Genomic DNA, 17,909 nt, shown 5'->3' with positions numbered 1-17,909 from the left:
TAAAGAAAATGACATTTGAGCGAAGATTTGAAGGAGGTGGAGGAAATAGCCATATGGACATCTAAATGAAAGTTTTCCATTCCACTCTTGTGAATTAGAAGGTAAATGGCAAAAATACACAGTGAAATTCTGAACAGAGGGGGATAATATCCAATAATTTGTTAACAGCTGCATTGCTTGTCTTGTGTTTAGTCTGGTTTAATATTAAGATTTCTCTAGAGAACACACACTACACAGATCAGAGAGGATGGCTTGGAAGTTCTTCACCATCATGGAGTTAGGAGATGTATAACTATCTGTAAAACAGAGTCAGATACTATTCTCAAAAGAATATTTAAATACATTGTACATGAAGAATAAGTAAAATGTAGACCGGGTGCTGTGGCTCCTACCTGTAATCCCAACACTTTGGGAGGCCAAGGCAGGTGGATCACCTGAGGTCATGAGTTCGAGACCAGACTGGCCAACAGAGTGAAACCCTGTCTCTACGAAAAATACAAAAATTAGCTGGGCATGGTGGTGCAGGCCTATAATTCAGCTACTCAGGAGGCTGAGACAGGAGAATCACTTGAACCTGGGAGGCAGAGGTTGCAGTGAGCCGAGATCATGGCCACTGCACTCCAGCCTGGGGAACAGAGCAAGAATCTGTTTTAAAAAAAAGAATAAGTAAAATGTAAAGGAGATTGCCTTAGTCTTTGAAATGACATTATTATTAGTGTGATTCAATTTAGCTATGTTCCTCAGTAGTAAACAGCATTAGAAAAAAACCAGGTTTAGAGAAGCCTTATATTGCCATTGGAATAAATGGGTGAGTTAACATTAGTTTAATATCTTCTTTGCTCTTTTACCATATAAACAGGGTTATGATAATCTTATCAAAACTCCTTTATTAAATAATGAGATTTGCCCAGAGTTCTGATTGATTTCCAAGTATTCAATCTGATAATTAGGAAAATAGTATTATAATAATATTGTAACAATAGTTGGAACATTTTACAATGGATTTATTTGTTCACAACCCAAATTTGCAGCTTTCCTTTCTAGAACTTTCATTTAAATTGACATCTGAAGAAGAGGTCCAATCAATCAACTTATTTAGAAGACTTTCAGAAAGAAGGCACATTGTTATTAGTGTCAAGGGTTTTTCAAAGTAGTAATTTTCTGGCTCTAGAAAATCACTGAGTTGAATCGAGGAACAATTAACAATAAGAGTTATCAGCCTTGCAATTTACGCATGTTTTAAACTATGGTGCCTTTCACTTGTTCCCAGAGAAAACTGGCTTTGGAATATGAAGATGTGTTTGTATATTTGTTAATATTTACCTGGCCTCATTCAGCCTGCACCTGCATAACAGCTTTCTTTTTTAGGCAAAATAAAACTGCATCTTCCTGGATTTTTTTTTTTTTTTTTTTTTTTTTTGGTCAATGGCACTAGAAACATTTGTGTCATAGTAGTTCAACATACACAGTTCCTCTGCCAACAAGATTGCTTTTAGTCTTTGATATCCTTTCCAAAAACAACAACCAGAAGGCGTGGAAGGCTTTTAACCATCAAGTGATTTTATGTTGCATTTTATCATAAACACTGAATTAAATGACTAGGTAATTGAAAGCTACCCATTGATTCAAATTGACTTTGAAGAAAAGCAGTTTACTCCAGAACTCAAAATTCAAGGCATGCGTGTTGTGAATCACACATCTCCATCTATCACTGTGTTTGAAGCTGTATGGATTCACAAGTAGCAACTCTGAAAAAATTGGTGGAGGTTTACATATGGGCTAAGACCAAAAGTGCAGCATCATTGCCCGGGTACATGCTGGAAGTGTTGGTGCTGGATGATGGGGCCTGAAGTGAATGCTTAGCTCACGTCACATCGGTGCTGATGATGTCAGCTCTCTGCCTCAGCTGGCAAAAGGGGCTGGAACTGCAATTTTACCAACATTCCAAAAATTATCAACCATTTCAGGAATACATTTCATAAAAGCTAGATTGAGTTCTGCTTGTTTTTTATTTACTTTTACATTTAATTAATCTTCTAAAGATTAATTTAGAAGAGATAGATATAAAATGCCAGATTTTTTCTGGGGAAAAGCTACAAAATGTATTTTTGGTATTCCAGATATTCTACACCAAAAAGTGTATTAATTTCAGAAAAATATAGATGGCCTATTTTGTACGTTTGAAATGAATCCCTTTTTCGTTTATTATTCAAAATACTTCATTTTAAAAAGGATACCTTTAGGCCAGGTGTGGTGGCTTACTCCTGTAATCCCATCACTTTGGGAGGCCTAGGTGGGAGGGACTGCTTGAGGCCAGGAGTTCAAGACCATCTTGGGCAACATCGAGAGATGAGACCCTGTCTCTACAAAAAAAAATTTAAAAATTAGCTGGTGGTAGTGGCATGAGCCTAGAGTCCCAGCCCTTCAGGAGACTGAAGTGGGAGGATCACTTGGGCCCAAGAGTTCTAGGTTACAGTGAGCCATGATTGCGCCACCGCACTGCAGCCTGGGCAACAGAGTGAGACACCCATCTCTAAAAAAGAAAAAAAAAAATTTAAGTACCTCTTTATAGTAGATCAGCACTTTTATTTTTTCACATAAAAAGTGGCAAAAAGCCAAATCATCTGATTCTGAGATAAGGTTACAATTATTGGAGAGATTAATGGGAAAATGCAAAGGATGTGGGATCACCATTGCCCGTTGTAGGCATATCTTTAAACAGCACAAATACTATATTCCTTTCACATCTGATACGATATGATCATTATAGCTCTCCTCTCCCTGAAGCTTGGCACATGTTGCTTGCTGAAATTCTGCAATAATTCAATTTTTGAATTATACTTCTGTTTTTGTGACCATTTTCATTCATCTCCTCGGCGCTTCGGTCCACAATAACAGAAATAGGAAATCCAATAGCTGTGTTCATGTAAATACACAAATGAGCACACACACGAGACGGATAAGAGTACTTCATCCACTCTCGCTCAGATCAATATTGCATTAGCTTGCTAGGCTAAGGTCTCGCTGTTGTTCAGGAAAATTCAATACTTCTTTGTATTATAGTCGAAAAAGCCTTTCACTCTCGTATCTTGAGGGCTCCTAAAGAGAGTGGCACGCTGTTGTCCGGGGGCAGTGTTCTAGGGACAGAAGGCAGATTTACCCAGCATGTCTTAAACATTATAAACCAGTGAGTCATGGAGACTCTCTAAATTGCAAGTCTGCATCAGACAAGTTCTCTTCTGTTTTCTCTTTCAAAGAGATTCCCCTTCCGCCCTCCCCAAAGGAATTGGGTGATAGTGGCAGGGAGGATCAGCCGCCTGAGCTTCCACAGGGCAATCACAGCTTTGCTTGCAAGCTTGTATTCTGGGGGAGGTCAGCGGCTGTGGCGATCAGAGGACGACCCCAAGGATTAGGGCTGTAAACATTTGCCCACAAACTAAAGAAAAAACATCATGAAGCCACACTAATGTAATTTAAATGAGGGAAAAAATAGTGAGGAAGTCTGAGTGGACTCTAAGGCTTTTCTTTTAATATTGCAGATCAGAAATGAGATTCCTTTTTAGGAAAGCAAAGACTTAAGTGTATGGTTCTAGCAAGGTATTTTCATGTGTATGTTATGGACAACTTCGTGCTCCAGAGATAAGAAAAAAAAAGTGTTGCATTACTACTAGGGCCACATCCAGAATGAAGAAAATCTATTAAATAGCAAAGAACCACTACCTGTAGAAGAATCAGAAGCCAGGAATAAAGCTGAAGAGAGACAAAAAACAGCAAGAGTTTCATCTTCTGAGATGCTTTCTTCTGCCAACTGAGAAGTCGAATATAACAAAATTTGCTTCCATAATGCAAAGCTATTGTCCGTGACAGCGTGATGCCCTGTAGATAATCTGTATCAGTCCTCCTCACTGGGTCATCCTCCTCATTTTCTTCATGATAAAGCAGTCTATGCACACAAACTGTGTGGTGCCTGGAGGGAGAGTGAGGGGTTGCAACAGAGAGAAAACTCTGAATTCAGTCAACTCCATTATTTTCAACACATCGAAAAATTATCAGGTATTATTCAAAGCAACCCATTGTTGCGCTAACTCAAATAGGTGAACCATTTTGGTTTACTTTAGTTATTTTATTTTGTTTGGGTTTGGGGTTTTTTCTTTTTTCTTTTTTAAAGAGAATTGGCCAAGAGCTGAAAACCTGTCGGCCAAGGATCTGTGCAATCCACGAAACAGTGGCTCCGATTTGCTGCCTACTAGGAACACAGCTGGTACTTGGGCTTCAGGGAGACCAGTTCTTGTGGGGTTCACTTTGGCAACCACACTTGAAGTCTCTCCTGGCCTTCATCAGCCGCATCCTGCATCCAAACTGCACACACTGGCCTTGAAACACCACGTCCCTGTTAAAGGCCCCTCCCTCCAGGGACATGTCTACCTAATGTGCTTCTTTAAACAAAGCAATCATTCTTAGTTGAAACGCACAGAACCATGGATTTCTTGGAGGGGAAAACAGTCCACACCATATTGTCCTTCTAAACCCAAACCATCTGGTATGTTTTTGCCATATGTGCAATGAAAAAACCTAGAGAAAAAAAAAAGGGACTTTTTTATGTGTGGCTTGTCGATGATCAGGACAGGGAAATGGAGAGATTTGCCATCCACGGGGGTTCTGCACTCTTCCCAAGGCAATTTCCAGTTTACTCATTGCCAGGGTTTGCTTAAAGCACTTCAACAAAGGTGTGGCCAGTTTAAGTCAAACAGCAAATTGTTGTTTTTTTTGTGTGTTTTTCTGAGACAGAGTCTCGCTCCGTCATCCAGGCTGGAGTGCAGTGGTGCAATCCTGGCTCACTGCAACCTCCACCTCCTGGGTCTTGCCTCAGCCTCCCCAGTAGCTGGGATTACAGGCACTGCCCACCACGCCTGGCTAATCTTTGTAGTTTTAGTAGAAACGGGGTTTCACCATGTTGGCCAGGCTGGTCTCAAACTCCTGACCTCAAGTGATCCACCCACCTCAGCTTCCCAAAGTGCTGGGATTACAAGAGTGAGCCACCGCACTCAGCCATCAAATAATTTGACTTTAACATAAATTAGTGGGTGTTCCCAATCATTCGCCTCCTCAAGTCCACTTTTTTTCCTGGTGTGCACAATCAAATGGTTGCTTTTGGTGATGTCTTGGCCACTGGAAACAAGTCACCTCTCAGATTTAGGAGAGAAGAAACTAGGACAGAAGTCAGACAGATGCATTTTTATTTCATTTAGATTATAAGTTGCCATTATGTATAAATTATTGGTATATGTAGTCTCCAACTTTTTACATGGTTACAATGATTTGTCTTCACATAAAGCCCTGAGTAGGACATAATCCATTGTCCTTTGTCCAAGCCTGTTATGTTTATCATAATAAGAATCCAGGGCTAAAAGATAGCATGAGGAAGCCAATTGCAGGTCAATCGTGGATCAGACCCCTGGGACTGATCAGACCAGAGGGTTCCCTGGACATCAGCATCCCCAGAATCTCCCCCTAGGGCAAGAGAGGCGAGGACGGGTAACTCAGAAACCTCAGTGACCACAGCTTAGCAGGAATCTTTTGGCGCTGAGCTGTGTATACAGATTTGCCCTGCCAGTGGGTACCAAGGTGCCACTTCAATAGCCTAAATCTCATTCTTTGCAATTGAAGCAAGCATTTTGATTCTGTTCCTGAAAACAATTCTGCTCACTGGGGAATGCGGTTATGCCTGTTACTGCCCTTCTGAGTACACTTTAAAATCTTCTCCGCAAACCCAATCCAATATGTTCACAGCAAACCAATTAACTTAGGGAAGCCTTGCTTTGGGTTAGAAAACACTTCTGGGTTCTACTGGGGCCCATCTTTGTAAATGCTAATTCTTGCATCTGCTGCAGGAGAAAAGACATTTTGACATCGTCTGTATTCCTCCCTTTCCAGTTGGCCCTCACATTGGGCGTTACTGTGGACAGAAAACACCAGGTCGAATCCGATCCTCATCGGGCATTCTCTCCATGGTTTTTTACACCGACAGCGCGATAGCAAAAGAAGGTTTCTCAGCAAACTACAGTGTCTTGCAGAGCAGTGTCTCAGAAGGTCAGTGTTTATTCATTTTGCAAAGCCCTGTGGTAAATACTCAATGTTATTCCTGCTCACACACCTGCGGCCACATGAAGCACTAAAGAAATGTTTTGTGAACTGGGGTGCCAGCTGTCTGTTTTTCTCTTCTAAATGTTTTTTTATGAGTATCAATAGGAAGAACTGTTTGGTGTGCTTTCTTCATAAAATTGTGGGTGAGAAGCCTGCTTGGGAGCCTCTGAAATTATGGGAGAAAGTAGGAAATGGCAAAATAGTGCCTTGAAACAATGAAATGTGACTAGAGCATCTACCTGGCACCCTCAAATGCATACAAGGCTGAGCATCATAAGAGGACAGGCATCTATCCCAGATGATAAGAACAAATCTAAAGTAGTTCACCGACAGAGCAGTCACGAAGTATGGGAAATGCACAGTGGTTTGGTTGTGGAAGATGCTGGGGGAAGCCAGTATGTTTTTTGTATTCTATGAAAAAACTCAGCTAACTCAACCCTTCCTCAAAGTTTTTGTGGTCTCTAGCTCTTTTAAAGGCCCAAGAAAAAAAATCTGAAAGAACAAAGAATAAGGCCAGGACTGGTGGCTCACTCTGTAATCCCAGTGCTTTGGGAGGGCGAGGCAGGAGGATTGCTTGAGGCCAGGAGTTGGAGCCCAGCCTTGGCAATATAATGCGAACCTGACTCTACTAAAAATTGAAAAGTTAGCTGGGCATGGGGGATTGTGCCTGTAGTCCCAGTTACTTGGGAAGCTATGGGAAGATTGCTTGAGCCTCAAAGTTTAAGGCTGCAGTGAGCTATAATCATGCCACTGCACTCCAGCCTGGTTGACAGAGTGAGACCCAGTCTCAAGAACAACAACAAAAAAGAACAAAGAAAAAATTGTTTGTGCAATTATCAGCTCTAGCTGCCAGGCTGTAAAGTAGCACAGGGAGAGGACAGGGGGTGTTTGGAGAGGTATTCTACAGATATGCTCATATCTTCTACACCAGATCTCACTGGAAAATAAAGAGGCCAGTGAAATTTCAAAATCTGATTTGTATTTTATTTAATTGATTTATGTATTTTTGTGCCTGTAAATAATTGTTATATTACAAATAACAAACCTAAGCTTAAAAATATGAAGCCATTGCAAGAAAACCTTGTATGCCCTAAAACCTTATCTGTTATTGATAGAAAATTCAGAAAATGGGGAATTTTGGTTAGTTGAGATTTTCTGGATGGTTGAGAATCTTCCCTTTAATCTCTAAAGCTTTTTTTCACTTGTGTACTTTGGATAAACATTTTCCTAAAACTGAAAGCTCATATTCCCAGTATCATCAAACTGAGGATGTTAGGCCTAAGAGAATATAGATTTTGATGTTTCACTGGCCTTGAAACACCACGTCCCTGCTGAAGGCCCCTCCCTCCAGGGACATGTCCACCTAATGTGCTTCTTTAAACAAAGCAATCATTCTTATGCTCACTGTTGTGAGCATTATGATTTTATGCTCTAAAACTGTGGTGCTTTGGGGCCGTGTGACAGTGCAGTTTACCCCCAATGCATAACTGTGTTTTGATAAACTAATTATGTTAATAGTCATGCAGGCCAGAGGTGGGGCATAAGAACAATGGAAGTCAGGAAGAGGTGGTCTGGGTGCCAATAGTAGAATCTGAAAGACAGGGAGTTAAGTTCTACCATCCATTGAGTATGAATTGTAACTAGACATAGAGTCTTTTTTCAATTCTCTTCGATATTAAAAGAAATAATTTAATACAAAAATTTTATTTTAAATGCAACTTTTTGTGTGTACCCATATGACAGGTAGAGTCACAGATAGTTACAAACACACACACTCAACTGTGAAAATAAATCAGAATTTTCATCATTTCCTGGTAAATTTCAAATAGTCTTTTTGTCAACCTAGGTCCACTTGGGAAAATTATTAATCACTGTATGATCTTCATAATATTTTTAAATATTGCCATGAAAATCCAAGTATCAGTGCTATATTCCAATAAGTCCCTTACTACCATCTTTTTAAAGAATTTTGAATGAAAGAACTCTTTGGTGTATCAAGTTAAAAAAGAAAAATGCATCTTAAATCCCCTATATTTTGATGACTGTGGGCCCTGTTTTTCCCTTCAGATTTCAAATGTATGGAAGCTCTGGGCATGGAATCAGGAGAAATTCATTCTGACCAGATCACAGCTTCTTCCCAGTATAGCACCAACTGGTCTGCAGAGCGCTCCCGCCTGAACTACCCTGAGAATGGGTGGACTCCCGGAGAGGATTCCTACCGAGAGTGGATACAGGTATGCAGCATAAGATCAAGCCTATCTAGGATTGAATAAGTTTTTGACCATCTAGAGAGGTTGTTGAAAGAAAGTGGTACTGTGCCAAATGGCCTCCAATGAGAAGATAGGTTCACGGCCATCAGGTATAAATCACTGCAAGAGAAGATAGGTTCACGGCCATCAGGTATAAATCACTGCAAAATGAGCCCATCGCTACACGATCAGAGAAAAGCAGGCCCAAGATGACATCCCTGAAAACGCATTTATCTTCTCAGATACTTATATACTACTCTTCCGAGAATGTGACTACAAGTGTCTCACTTTGATAACAGCTCCAAGATCTGATTTTTCCCAACTACACACTGTCTGTTAATGGGCTTCCTATTTTGACATGTTTTTATTTCCTGGATGAAATATATGAATCCTGTTTATAGACGTGTATGAAATAATTGTTTCCAATAATAGGTTTCTGTTTGTTCAGGGTAGGAGAAGGGAAGGAAAGGTTGGAGTGTGTTTTTCCATGTAGGTCTATATAGCACACATCCAAGAAGGGGGTTTGGTTGAAGGCACTCTCCATTGACGAGATATCCATGTTTAGGCATGAAATGTACATATTTGTGTCTTCATTAGTGATGCTACCTCTGCTTTCCTCGCTTTGTTCTGGCATTCCCTTCCTGCTGTCACTTACATATCCCCACAGACACCTCGTCTGCCCCACATCCCCACCGCTGACCCCATTTTCCAGCCGTCTAATCTACCCCCTCTCATCGCCGGCACCACTCCTAATGCCCACTTGCCCAACCTTGATATCTGGGTATTCCCACCCAAAGGCCTGATGCTGACAGTCCTGAGTTTTTCACTCACTGTTAAATGAAACATCCATAGCTGGATCTGTGGGTTAAACTGTGGGCAAATTATACAAAAGATTATTTGCTGAAGGATCCAGGCTTCCTTTTCAGGAGAATAGTCAGATCCTGTCTTACGTTTATTGCTAGATATAAAATGACTAATTCCCAGAGAGAGTTTCTAAGCAAGAAAAAAAAAAAAAACCACAAGATGATTAATCCTCTACTTTCCACATCTATTGCTGCTTCAGTCTTTTGAGCACAAATAGCAGATTTTGTTTTACTTTGGAAAGGTCAATATTAGTTTAACATACACTTAAAGTGAAATGGCCTATTACAGGAGACTGAACTCACGCTAACCTCCAACACTGAGAAATATGTAGAGAGTGAGAAAAGATGAGACGTCTACCTTGGGATTGCTGAATCCATCTCTAGATTAAGACAGAAATGAAATGAGTTTGCCAGTGTCAAAATAGTTCTTGGTAACTTGTTTTCCCACATCCCCAAACCAACAGGCAGTTCAGTATGATTGACAGATGTGCCTCTCGGGGGAAGCTTACATTTTGCAGCACTAAGCATGTTTGCATGGTAATGAAACAGGAAAGGTCTCCTTGTGTCCCTCACAGGGCGTGCGATAGGGGTGTGGCTCGCTTCTTCAGTGCCCCGCTGCTGAAACCTCTAGGGGAGCATACAGATGGGCAGGCAGTGGGGCTTCGACCCCACGGCAGTGTCTAAGGCTGAATGTTTACAGCCGCAGCCCCAGTGGGCGCGTGTTACAGGTGCTCTTTTGCTTTGCCGTCTATAGGCGGCTTGTGTTCACCAGCTCAATTAGACCCCCTTCCTTATCACAAGGACAGAGGGATTTCTGTATCCCAGGGTTTCTTGCCTTGGTGTACGGGAAGATTCGGATCACACGTGGTCTTGGAGAATGCGTGCAAGGTTTTATTGCTGGGGGAGCCGGAAGGGAGATGGTTTTCTCCTGGACTCTTCTCCAACAGCTCCGGTCAAACTCCACGTCGTTGTGCTTGTGCCTGTTGGTGTGCTCTTCTACCGGTGGGCTCTCGACGATCAGCCACTTGTGCCTTCTTCCCCCAATGTGTTCCTCACGATATCCAGCCGCTTGTATATCTGCCCGCTAGGGTCTCGGGTTATTAAAGGCCCAGGATGGGGGCGTGGTGGGCCATGGTGGTCTTGGAAAATGCAACATTTAGGCGGGAAAGCAGGAGTACCTGTCTTCACTTTGGTCCGTGGGGGTGGAGCCCTAGCCAGGGACTCTCCTTTCTCTACCCTGCACTTCCCTTCCCCCTTCTGTACCATTTAAAGGGACCGCGCTCTTGCCTTCCCAGCACTCCCGTATCAGTAATGTAGTCCCATTCTTGGTAATGTGGGGAGCTCTCACTAAGGTAGAAATGGTGGTCTTCCAGGAGCTCTGAAACTGCAACTGTAGCAATTCTTCTGCGCAAGGCAATTCTCTTGTCAGTAAAAACACTAAGACTACATGGCCTCTCACAAAGCATTTGTGAACAGAACAGATTTACATCATTCTTTGGAGTTAGACACAATCTGAGATTGCCCCAGAAGAAAAAAAAATCTCAAATCATCCATCTCTTTTTGCCAATGAGAAAACATGATCAGGAGAAGCAAGGTAACTCAAACCCCAAAAACTAGAGGGTTTTCTTCTTGCTTATGCCATGTTCTATGGCTGGGCCAGCTGGGGTCTGCTCTGTATCTTCTCATGCCAGGACCCAGACTTGGGGGACAGCGTCCTCTGAAATGTTGCCTGCCCCAAGGCAGAGTGTATTAGTCTGTTCTCACACCGCTATAAAGAACTACCCAAGACTGGGTTAATTTATAAAGGAAAGAGGTTTAATTGACTCAGTTCTGCATGACTGGGGAGGAAACTTAGAATCATGGCAGAGGGGAAGCAGGAAAGTTAAGATCATGGCAGAAGGGGAAGCAGGCACGTCTTACATGGCGGCAGGTGAAAGAGGCGAGTGAAGGAGGAACTTCCAAACCATCTTATAAAACCATCAGATCTCATGAGAACTCACCCACTATCATGAGAAGAGCACGGGGAAAACCGCCCCCATGATCAAATCACCTCCCACCAGGCCCCTCCCTCAATGCTGGGGATTACAAATCAAGATGAGATTTGGGTGGGGACACAAAGCCTGACCATATCACAGAGGGAGGAAGATTGCAGCTCATCATGATGGTTCTTGGGTCTCCCTGCTGGATAACTTCCACCCACCTTCACTGCCAAAGCATATCACAGAGCCACACTTAACTTCTGAGGGGCAACAGGAAGCTGTGGCCCCACCTGGCTAGAGGGAGGAGAGCTTAAATGATAATTGTCCTACTCATACGACACTAATCCTTTATCAAGTCCAAAGAATGTGGCCCGATCTGTCCTAAGTACTTGAATATTTTTTATCTGATCCTCACTGCAATCCTGGGAAGGAGGTATAATCATCCCCATTTTAAAAACGAGATTGCTGAAGTTCAGAGAAACGAGTAAACACTCAAGGTCACAGTTAGTGACCAGGCTTGGAAACAAGGTCTATCAGACTCTAACACCCACTTGTTTATATTACAGTATGCAGGATTTTAACCATTTATTCCCATTCATATACTTTCAAGCCTATTTTATGAAATGTCCATCACCTCCCTGCTGAATCACGTTGAGATGGGTTGGGTGCTTCCTATTTCTAAGCCTACAATGCAGGGACTTTGCTGCTCCATCCCTCTGAAAGGTGAAAGTCACAAAAGCTTAGCTTCAGGTTCACCTTGAGGTAAAATTACCGTTTTTCGCCTTCCGAGCTCAGCAGGCTCATTTACATGCTTCTTGTGTCTGTGTACAGGGTGGGTGCTGTTATCATCCACTGATCACCTAATTATGAATAATTTCATGTGTTTCCAGCTTTTCTGAAACTCCTTGGAAGTGGTTGGCTTGTTGTTTTCATTAGATAGATGTTTTGTAAATTAACCAACAAGTACAGCATAATTTATACTGAGGGCAAGAGGCACGTACCTCTAATCACAAGAACCTTAGCACACATACATTTCTATTTATATGCACATAAGTATGCAGATGACATTTGTTTTCTTTTTCAGCTTTTTCACATTTTGCATGAAATATGCCCTCACAAAACAAGTTGCTGTAGCAACAACAAGTACACAAATACTTGCATGTGTTAAATTAATAAGGCGATATTGGAAGCTGACTTTCCATCAAGACAGGAACAAGCTTCGGTTCCCATTGTTTTCCCTAGGAAATTACTGAGTGGCATTAAAAAAAAAAACAATGCATCATTAACTGTCGATATGAACGTCCACATTGGAGCTTCCTGTGAGATCCGTTGTCTGCCAGAAAGCTTAAAAACAAGTCAAGGAGCCTGTTAGTGAGAAGGAGCGTGAAGGAAGTCCCAATGTGAAGGTTTGCACACAGCCATATCCTGCTCAAAAAGCCACTTCATATCCTGAGCTACTAAAATTTCCTCATTGTCAGTGGCAGAGTTAATCACACTATGAAATTTGCCTGCCCTGCCTTTTTTTCCAGATTATTCCATTCTTTATTCTGTGTCCCAGAGCTGCTGATCTTATTATTAATTTTACCTTTTTCCTTTCTTTGTTTCTGGTTAATCATTCTAGGATGCAAAATACAGACTCCGTGTATCAGTGGTGCGATCAAAATCTTCCTCTTCAAGCACATCATTAGAACCCAGGCCATTAAGCTCATTGAAACTGAGTTTCTTTTCCTATAAAATAAAAATAACGTAGCCTTCACTCCATTCAGGCTCTCTCAATCTGTGATCTATGAATCTCAGAGAAATGCAGTTTCAGTTTTTCCTTTTCATTTCCGCAAACTAAGTACACAGTGTACTGCATCTTCTAGGGAGACGTTCTCAAAGATCCTGAACGTAGCCATTGACACGCAAAGCAGAATTTAATTCGTTAATTATTTCAATGTTTTATTAATGATAGTGTTCACCACACTGTAAACAGATTTATCCTTCCAGCTTTAATTAAAGCTCTTGGGAGTGCTTTCCTCAAAATAACTGTGACTTTTCTCTGATTAAAATGCCAGGAGACAAAAAAAAAAAAAAAAAAAAAAAACAAGAGACATAATACCTGGGTGGGATATGAACTTTGTTGTTCAAAGAAACAAAAATAGCACCAGGATTACCACACTCCCTAGTGACTTTTGAAATTAAATTACTTGACAAACCAACTCGGGCTGAAACTACTCTTCTCCAAATTTGGGGACTTTTTCTCTTGTGGAAAAAAATTGTGGTACTAGAGTATTTATGCCTTCACTTATTCTGGAGGAGCAGAGAATGGTTGACTTCTAAACCACATCCTGTTTGGGTTGGTAAATCAGCCCTCTTGTGGATTAGTCACACAGAAGGAAACCTAAAGGAAGACAGTCTGTACCTATAAGACCACATCAGCAAACCCTTGAGGCAAGAGCCTCTTCTTTCTCCACTCCATTTTCTAGTGCAGATATTAATTCTCAGGTATGAGAAGAAGGAAAGTTCCAGAAGAGAAGGACTGGAGCCAACCTGCTGAAGAAGCTTGTTTTCATGTTTTCCTTTTGCCTTATATGTATTTCTCAAATAATATTAACGTCTTCCCCATTTTCTCTCTGAAGGACCATTAATGAAAGCCCTTAGTGTGGTAGGGAGATGGGCTGAATGGAATTGAAACACACACAGTCATGTTTAGTCCTTTGAGACAATAGTGTCAAAAGAAAGTAAATGCCCTTCTTCTAAGTTCAACATGAGAAACTGGTCCAATCTAAATGGCCTTTAGGGTTGCTTGAAAGATTTTTAAATTAATTGTGACACATACTCTAACAACGAAATCTTATGTTTCCATAGCGCTCTTCCCTTATAAAAGCACTTTTTTCTTGAGACAGAGTCTCGCTCTGTTGCCCAGGCTGGAGTGCAGTGGCACGATCTTGGCTCGCTGCAACCTCCACCTCCTGGGTTCAAGCGATTCTCCTGCCTCAGCCTCCTGAGTAGCTGGGATTACAGGCGTGTGCCACCAAGCCCAGGTAATTTTTGTATTTTTAGTAGAGATGGCGTGTCATCCCATGTTGGCCAGGCTGGTCTTGAACTCATGGCCTCAAGTGATCTGCTTGCCTCAGCCTCCCAAAGTGCTGGGATTACAGACATGAGCCACCACGCCTGGCCAAAAGCACTTTTTATATACGTCCTATTTTAGTCTTACAAAGTGAGGTCAGTTGACCAGAGATTTTTACCCCCATCTTCACATGAGAAAACTGAGGCCCAGTGGGGTTAAATGGTTCACCAAAGTCCTGACTCCGGAGAAAGATATAACTTGTGAGAAATCACGGTCTTACACAATGGACGTGGATATCCTTCCTCAGACTCAGGAAGCAAGACAGCAGGCACAGAAGGAGAAGTCAAACCGTGGCCAGCGCGTGCATTGCCACTTGCCTCTGGATGTGACACCCAGCCAGGGTGCAGGTGAGGCTTGCAAAGCTCTCTGGCCACTCTGATTATGTTTTTCACTGCATGCTCTTGCGACTGAGGTATGCTGGAGAGATACTCTCATGCCAGCTATTCGGAGAAACATAACTAATCCTGGCATCAGGCCTAATGGGCCACAGACGAGGCTGTCAGACACAGTCAGGTTTGCCACCCTCGGCCCCAGGGTCCTTCCTTCAGTCCTCCAAGGTTTCCCATCCATACACTTCACCAACATCCCATCCAGAGTGGTGAGTTGTTGCTTCTGGCAACTTCCAAAATGGCTCTGTCATGATTCAAAATTTGAATTGCCTGTTACAACTTGCAGAGAATGGACATGAAAAATAACACAATGGCGTAGACCTGATTTCAGGAGCTGTGAAGGGCCTGGACTTCCTTTAAGACCAAATGGAGTGAAATAACTTATGAGCCCTTGGAAATATTTCCTCTGAAAAATGGTAGTATGATATTTATTTATCACATTTCAGGTGGGATGAGTGAGTGCTGACATATTCAATTTGAAGAATTTGTTACTTGAAACCCTTGTTTTATCTTTAAAGTTAGAATCTCCCCACATTGAAAGTAGAAACTGAAGTAATTTACCTTAAAGCTTTAGAATGTCATTTGTTTTAACAAGTTTCATATACAATTTTCTTTTCTCTTAAACTTTCTGGACAGATCTTTTTATTCTCCAGTATTAATGGGTTGAGCGTGGAAGAGGTATCGCCTGTGAAATCATTTTTGATTTTTTTCACCAAATTGCTGGTTTCTCACAGGTTTTGTCCATAGTGTTGTATTCAGAATTGGTTCCATCTGCTAAATTGACTGATCCAGAGCATACATAGGACCAGGTTATCCTGATTGTAAACACTCTGTGCCTATAAACCAGACACTTTAGGGGGTGTATTAACTCATTCAGATCATTAGTAAATTGCCAAAATTACATTAAAATGATACTTTATAAATCTGTAAGTAGAGAACTGACAAAAATAGCTCACTGGGTTACCCAAATGTGGAATGATGCATGTAAAATACAGTGTTGGCAAAACTAGGGAAAATACAGCTGTTCAAATGGATGTGGATTCCCCAGGTGTGCTCTGTGTGTGTGTGTGTGTGTGTGTGTGTTTATTGCAACTAATACTAATATGCTGTTTCAACCAAAACATTCATCTGGAAGGAAGACAATTTGCTTTAAAAAAAATTCCCCAAGGTGAGCTTTTGGTGCTTACCCTGATTCTGCATTGACTTCTATTTCCTCCATAAAATAAATGCTTTACATACTACCCATTAATGAAGCAGAGGTCTGTTACCTATGACTGAGTTTCCACCCAGGAAGTCTGTTCCATAATCTACAGTGTCCTGAGGAACTTTTCCTAATGTTGTCCTGGGACCATGGCTTTTCACATCACAGGGAGTCATTTGAAGGGAATATGTAGGTAGAGATGGATTAAATTCTAAGGTGTTTTTTTTTTTAAGGAGGGTATGATTTGGGGAAAACAGGTGCACACATTAGAGATGATTATTTGGATATTTTTAACTGATTGTTTTGTTTTGTAGAAATTACCAAAAAAAAAAAAAGAAAGAAATTACCAATATGATTTTGACCATTTTGGTCAAGTTGACTAATTAATTCAGCTTAAAAAATCAGTGCAATGATTATACTAATTTCATGTCAACACACCTTAAAGAAAATGTATGATATTTGAAAAAGCCTCTTAGATTTTGATGATGAAGCATCACCAAAAAGACAATTCTTCGAGAACCACCACTGTTCAGGTAGAATTACGCTTACAAATAAATTACCTGTGTAGCATCAACTTTCCATTTTACTTACAGTTTTGGTTTCTTACTGTTTGATGCCAGTGTCTATTTGAAACAAACACTCATAGTTATGGTCTAGAGAAGAATTATTTTTCTTTCAGGGATATCTCAACTTTAAGACTAAAAGGGATACAGGCATCCTTTTGTCTAAATCCCTTATTTTGCATAAATTCAGAGGTTAAGTGATTTGAAAGACCACAGAGGAAGTTAATGACAGAACCTGGACTAGAATCTTAGCATCCCTGCTCCTACTCCATTGTAACAAGATGAAAATGGATTTGAGTCTCTGTTGAGGCTGGTGTCCTGAAGACCAAGCAAGCATGTTTAAACCCCAGCCTATCCCTACTTATTTGCTGACTGGCAAATGACGCCTATGAAATTGAACAATCACTGCAGAAGCTTTAACTTACATGGTTGGACTACATCTAGAGCAGGGTTTCTTGGTCTGAGCAATACTGACATTTTGATTTGCATAATCTTTTTCTTTTGGAGGGATTGACCTGTGCAAGATAGGATGTTGAACAGTGTCCCAGGCCTCTGCTCACTAGAAGCACATAGCATACATACACATGTAAGTCATAAAACCCAAATACTGTCTCCAGACATTGCTAGATATCCTACTTAGGGAACAATCACCCCCACTTGAAAACCGCTGGCGTAAAAGATCCTAAAATTCATTTTTTTCATATAATCAGCCTTTTGAAAGAAAAAAATTCATTGTTGTTTGGCTGGCTTTTATCACTTCTTGACTGCTTGTAGATATTATTTGAACAGAACCGTAGTTCTTTTGTTTTCCAAAAATACAGATGTGTTTGTTTGCCTTATGCAGGAAAATAGCTTCATAAACCTTCCTGCTTATTTATCTTAGGCTTCCCTATTTTTAGCTTTTAAAAGTGAACTGTTTTTAGCTAAATAAATACAGATGTTATTTTAGAAGCCTGTACAATTGGGTCTCAAAATGCACTAATAAGGATGGGATTAAGAAAAGGAAGCACAGGATAAAATTGCAAATTATCATTGACAAGATTTAGGCAAAATAAGACTGAAATTAGCTCTTTGACACATGAACGTTGTATGTCACTGACCTTTGCCTACCTAGTTTTGTTTTTATGTGGTATGTAAATCAGAGAGTTCTTGGGTTATTTTTTTTAATTCAAATATAATCAAGAGTAAAGAATTGTGGTTGAAAAGGCTGTCTATTGGTTAATAACTTATCTTTTCATGGGAAAGATAATATTAAGTTTCCACTTCTGTAACCTAAATAGCAACACATTAAAAGCTATCAATTACCAACCAGTTTCATATCTGTGGACCAATAAGGAGGCAAAGTTGATGGTTTCACATCTGTTTTGGGTGAAAGGCTGTTCCTGTCTGTGGTATTTAAAATTTAA

The 17,909-nt window shown here is 40.9% G+C and overlaps 1 protein-coding gene across 18 annotated transcripts in view; it reads left to right on the top strand.

Annotated features, from left to right (window-relative positions):
• The window catches only part of NRP1 (neuropilin 1), a 157,175-nt gene that overhangs the window by 72,262 nt on the left and 67,004 nt on the right, over positions 1 to 17,909 (top strand). For all 18 annotated transcript variants that reach the window (NR_045259.2, XM_047425977.1, XM_006717525.3 and 15 more), the window contains 2 exons: positions 5,935 to 6,090; positions 8,212 to 8,378. Coding sequence is in view for 17 of the 18 variants with exons in the window: in XM_047425977.1 (XP_047281933.1) it covers positions 5,935 to 6,090; positions 8,212 to 8,378 (323 nt within the window). In the remaining variant the exon portion in view is untranslated. The remainder of the gene's footprint in view (positions 1 to 5,934; positions 6,091 to 8,211; positions 8,379 to 17,909) is intronic.

The sequence above is a fragment of the Homo sapiens genome, chromosome 10 (genome assembly GCF_000001405.40).
Source record: "Homo sapiens chromosome 10, GRCh38.p14 Primary Assembly".
In the NCBI taxonomy this organism is placed as follows: domain Eukaryota; kingdom Metazoa; phylum Chordata; class Mammalia; order Primates; family Hominidae; genus Homo; species Homo sapiens.
This window is presented reverse-complemented; position numbering and strand designations above follow the sequence as displayed.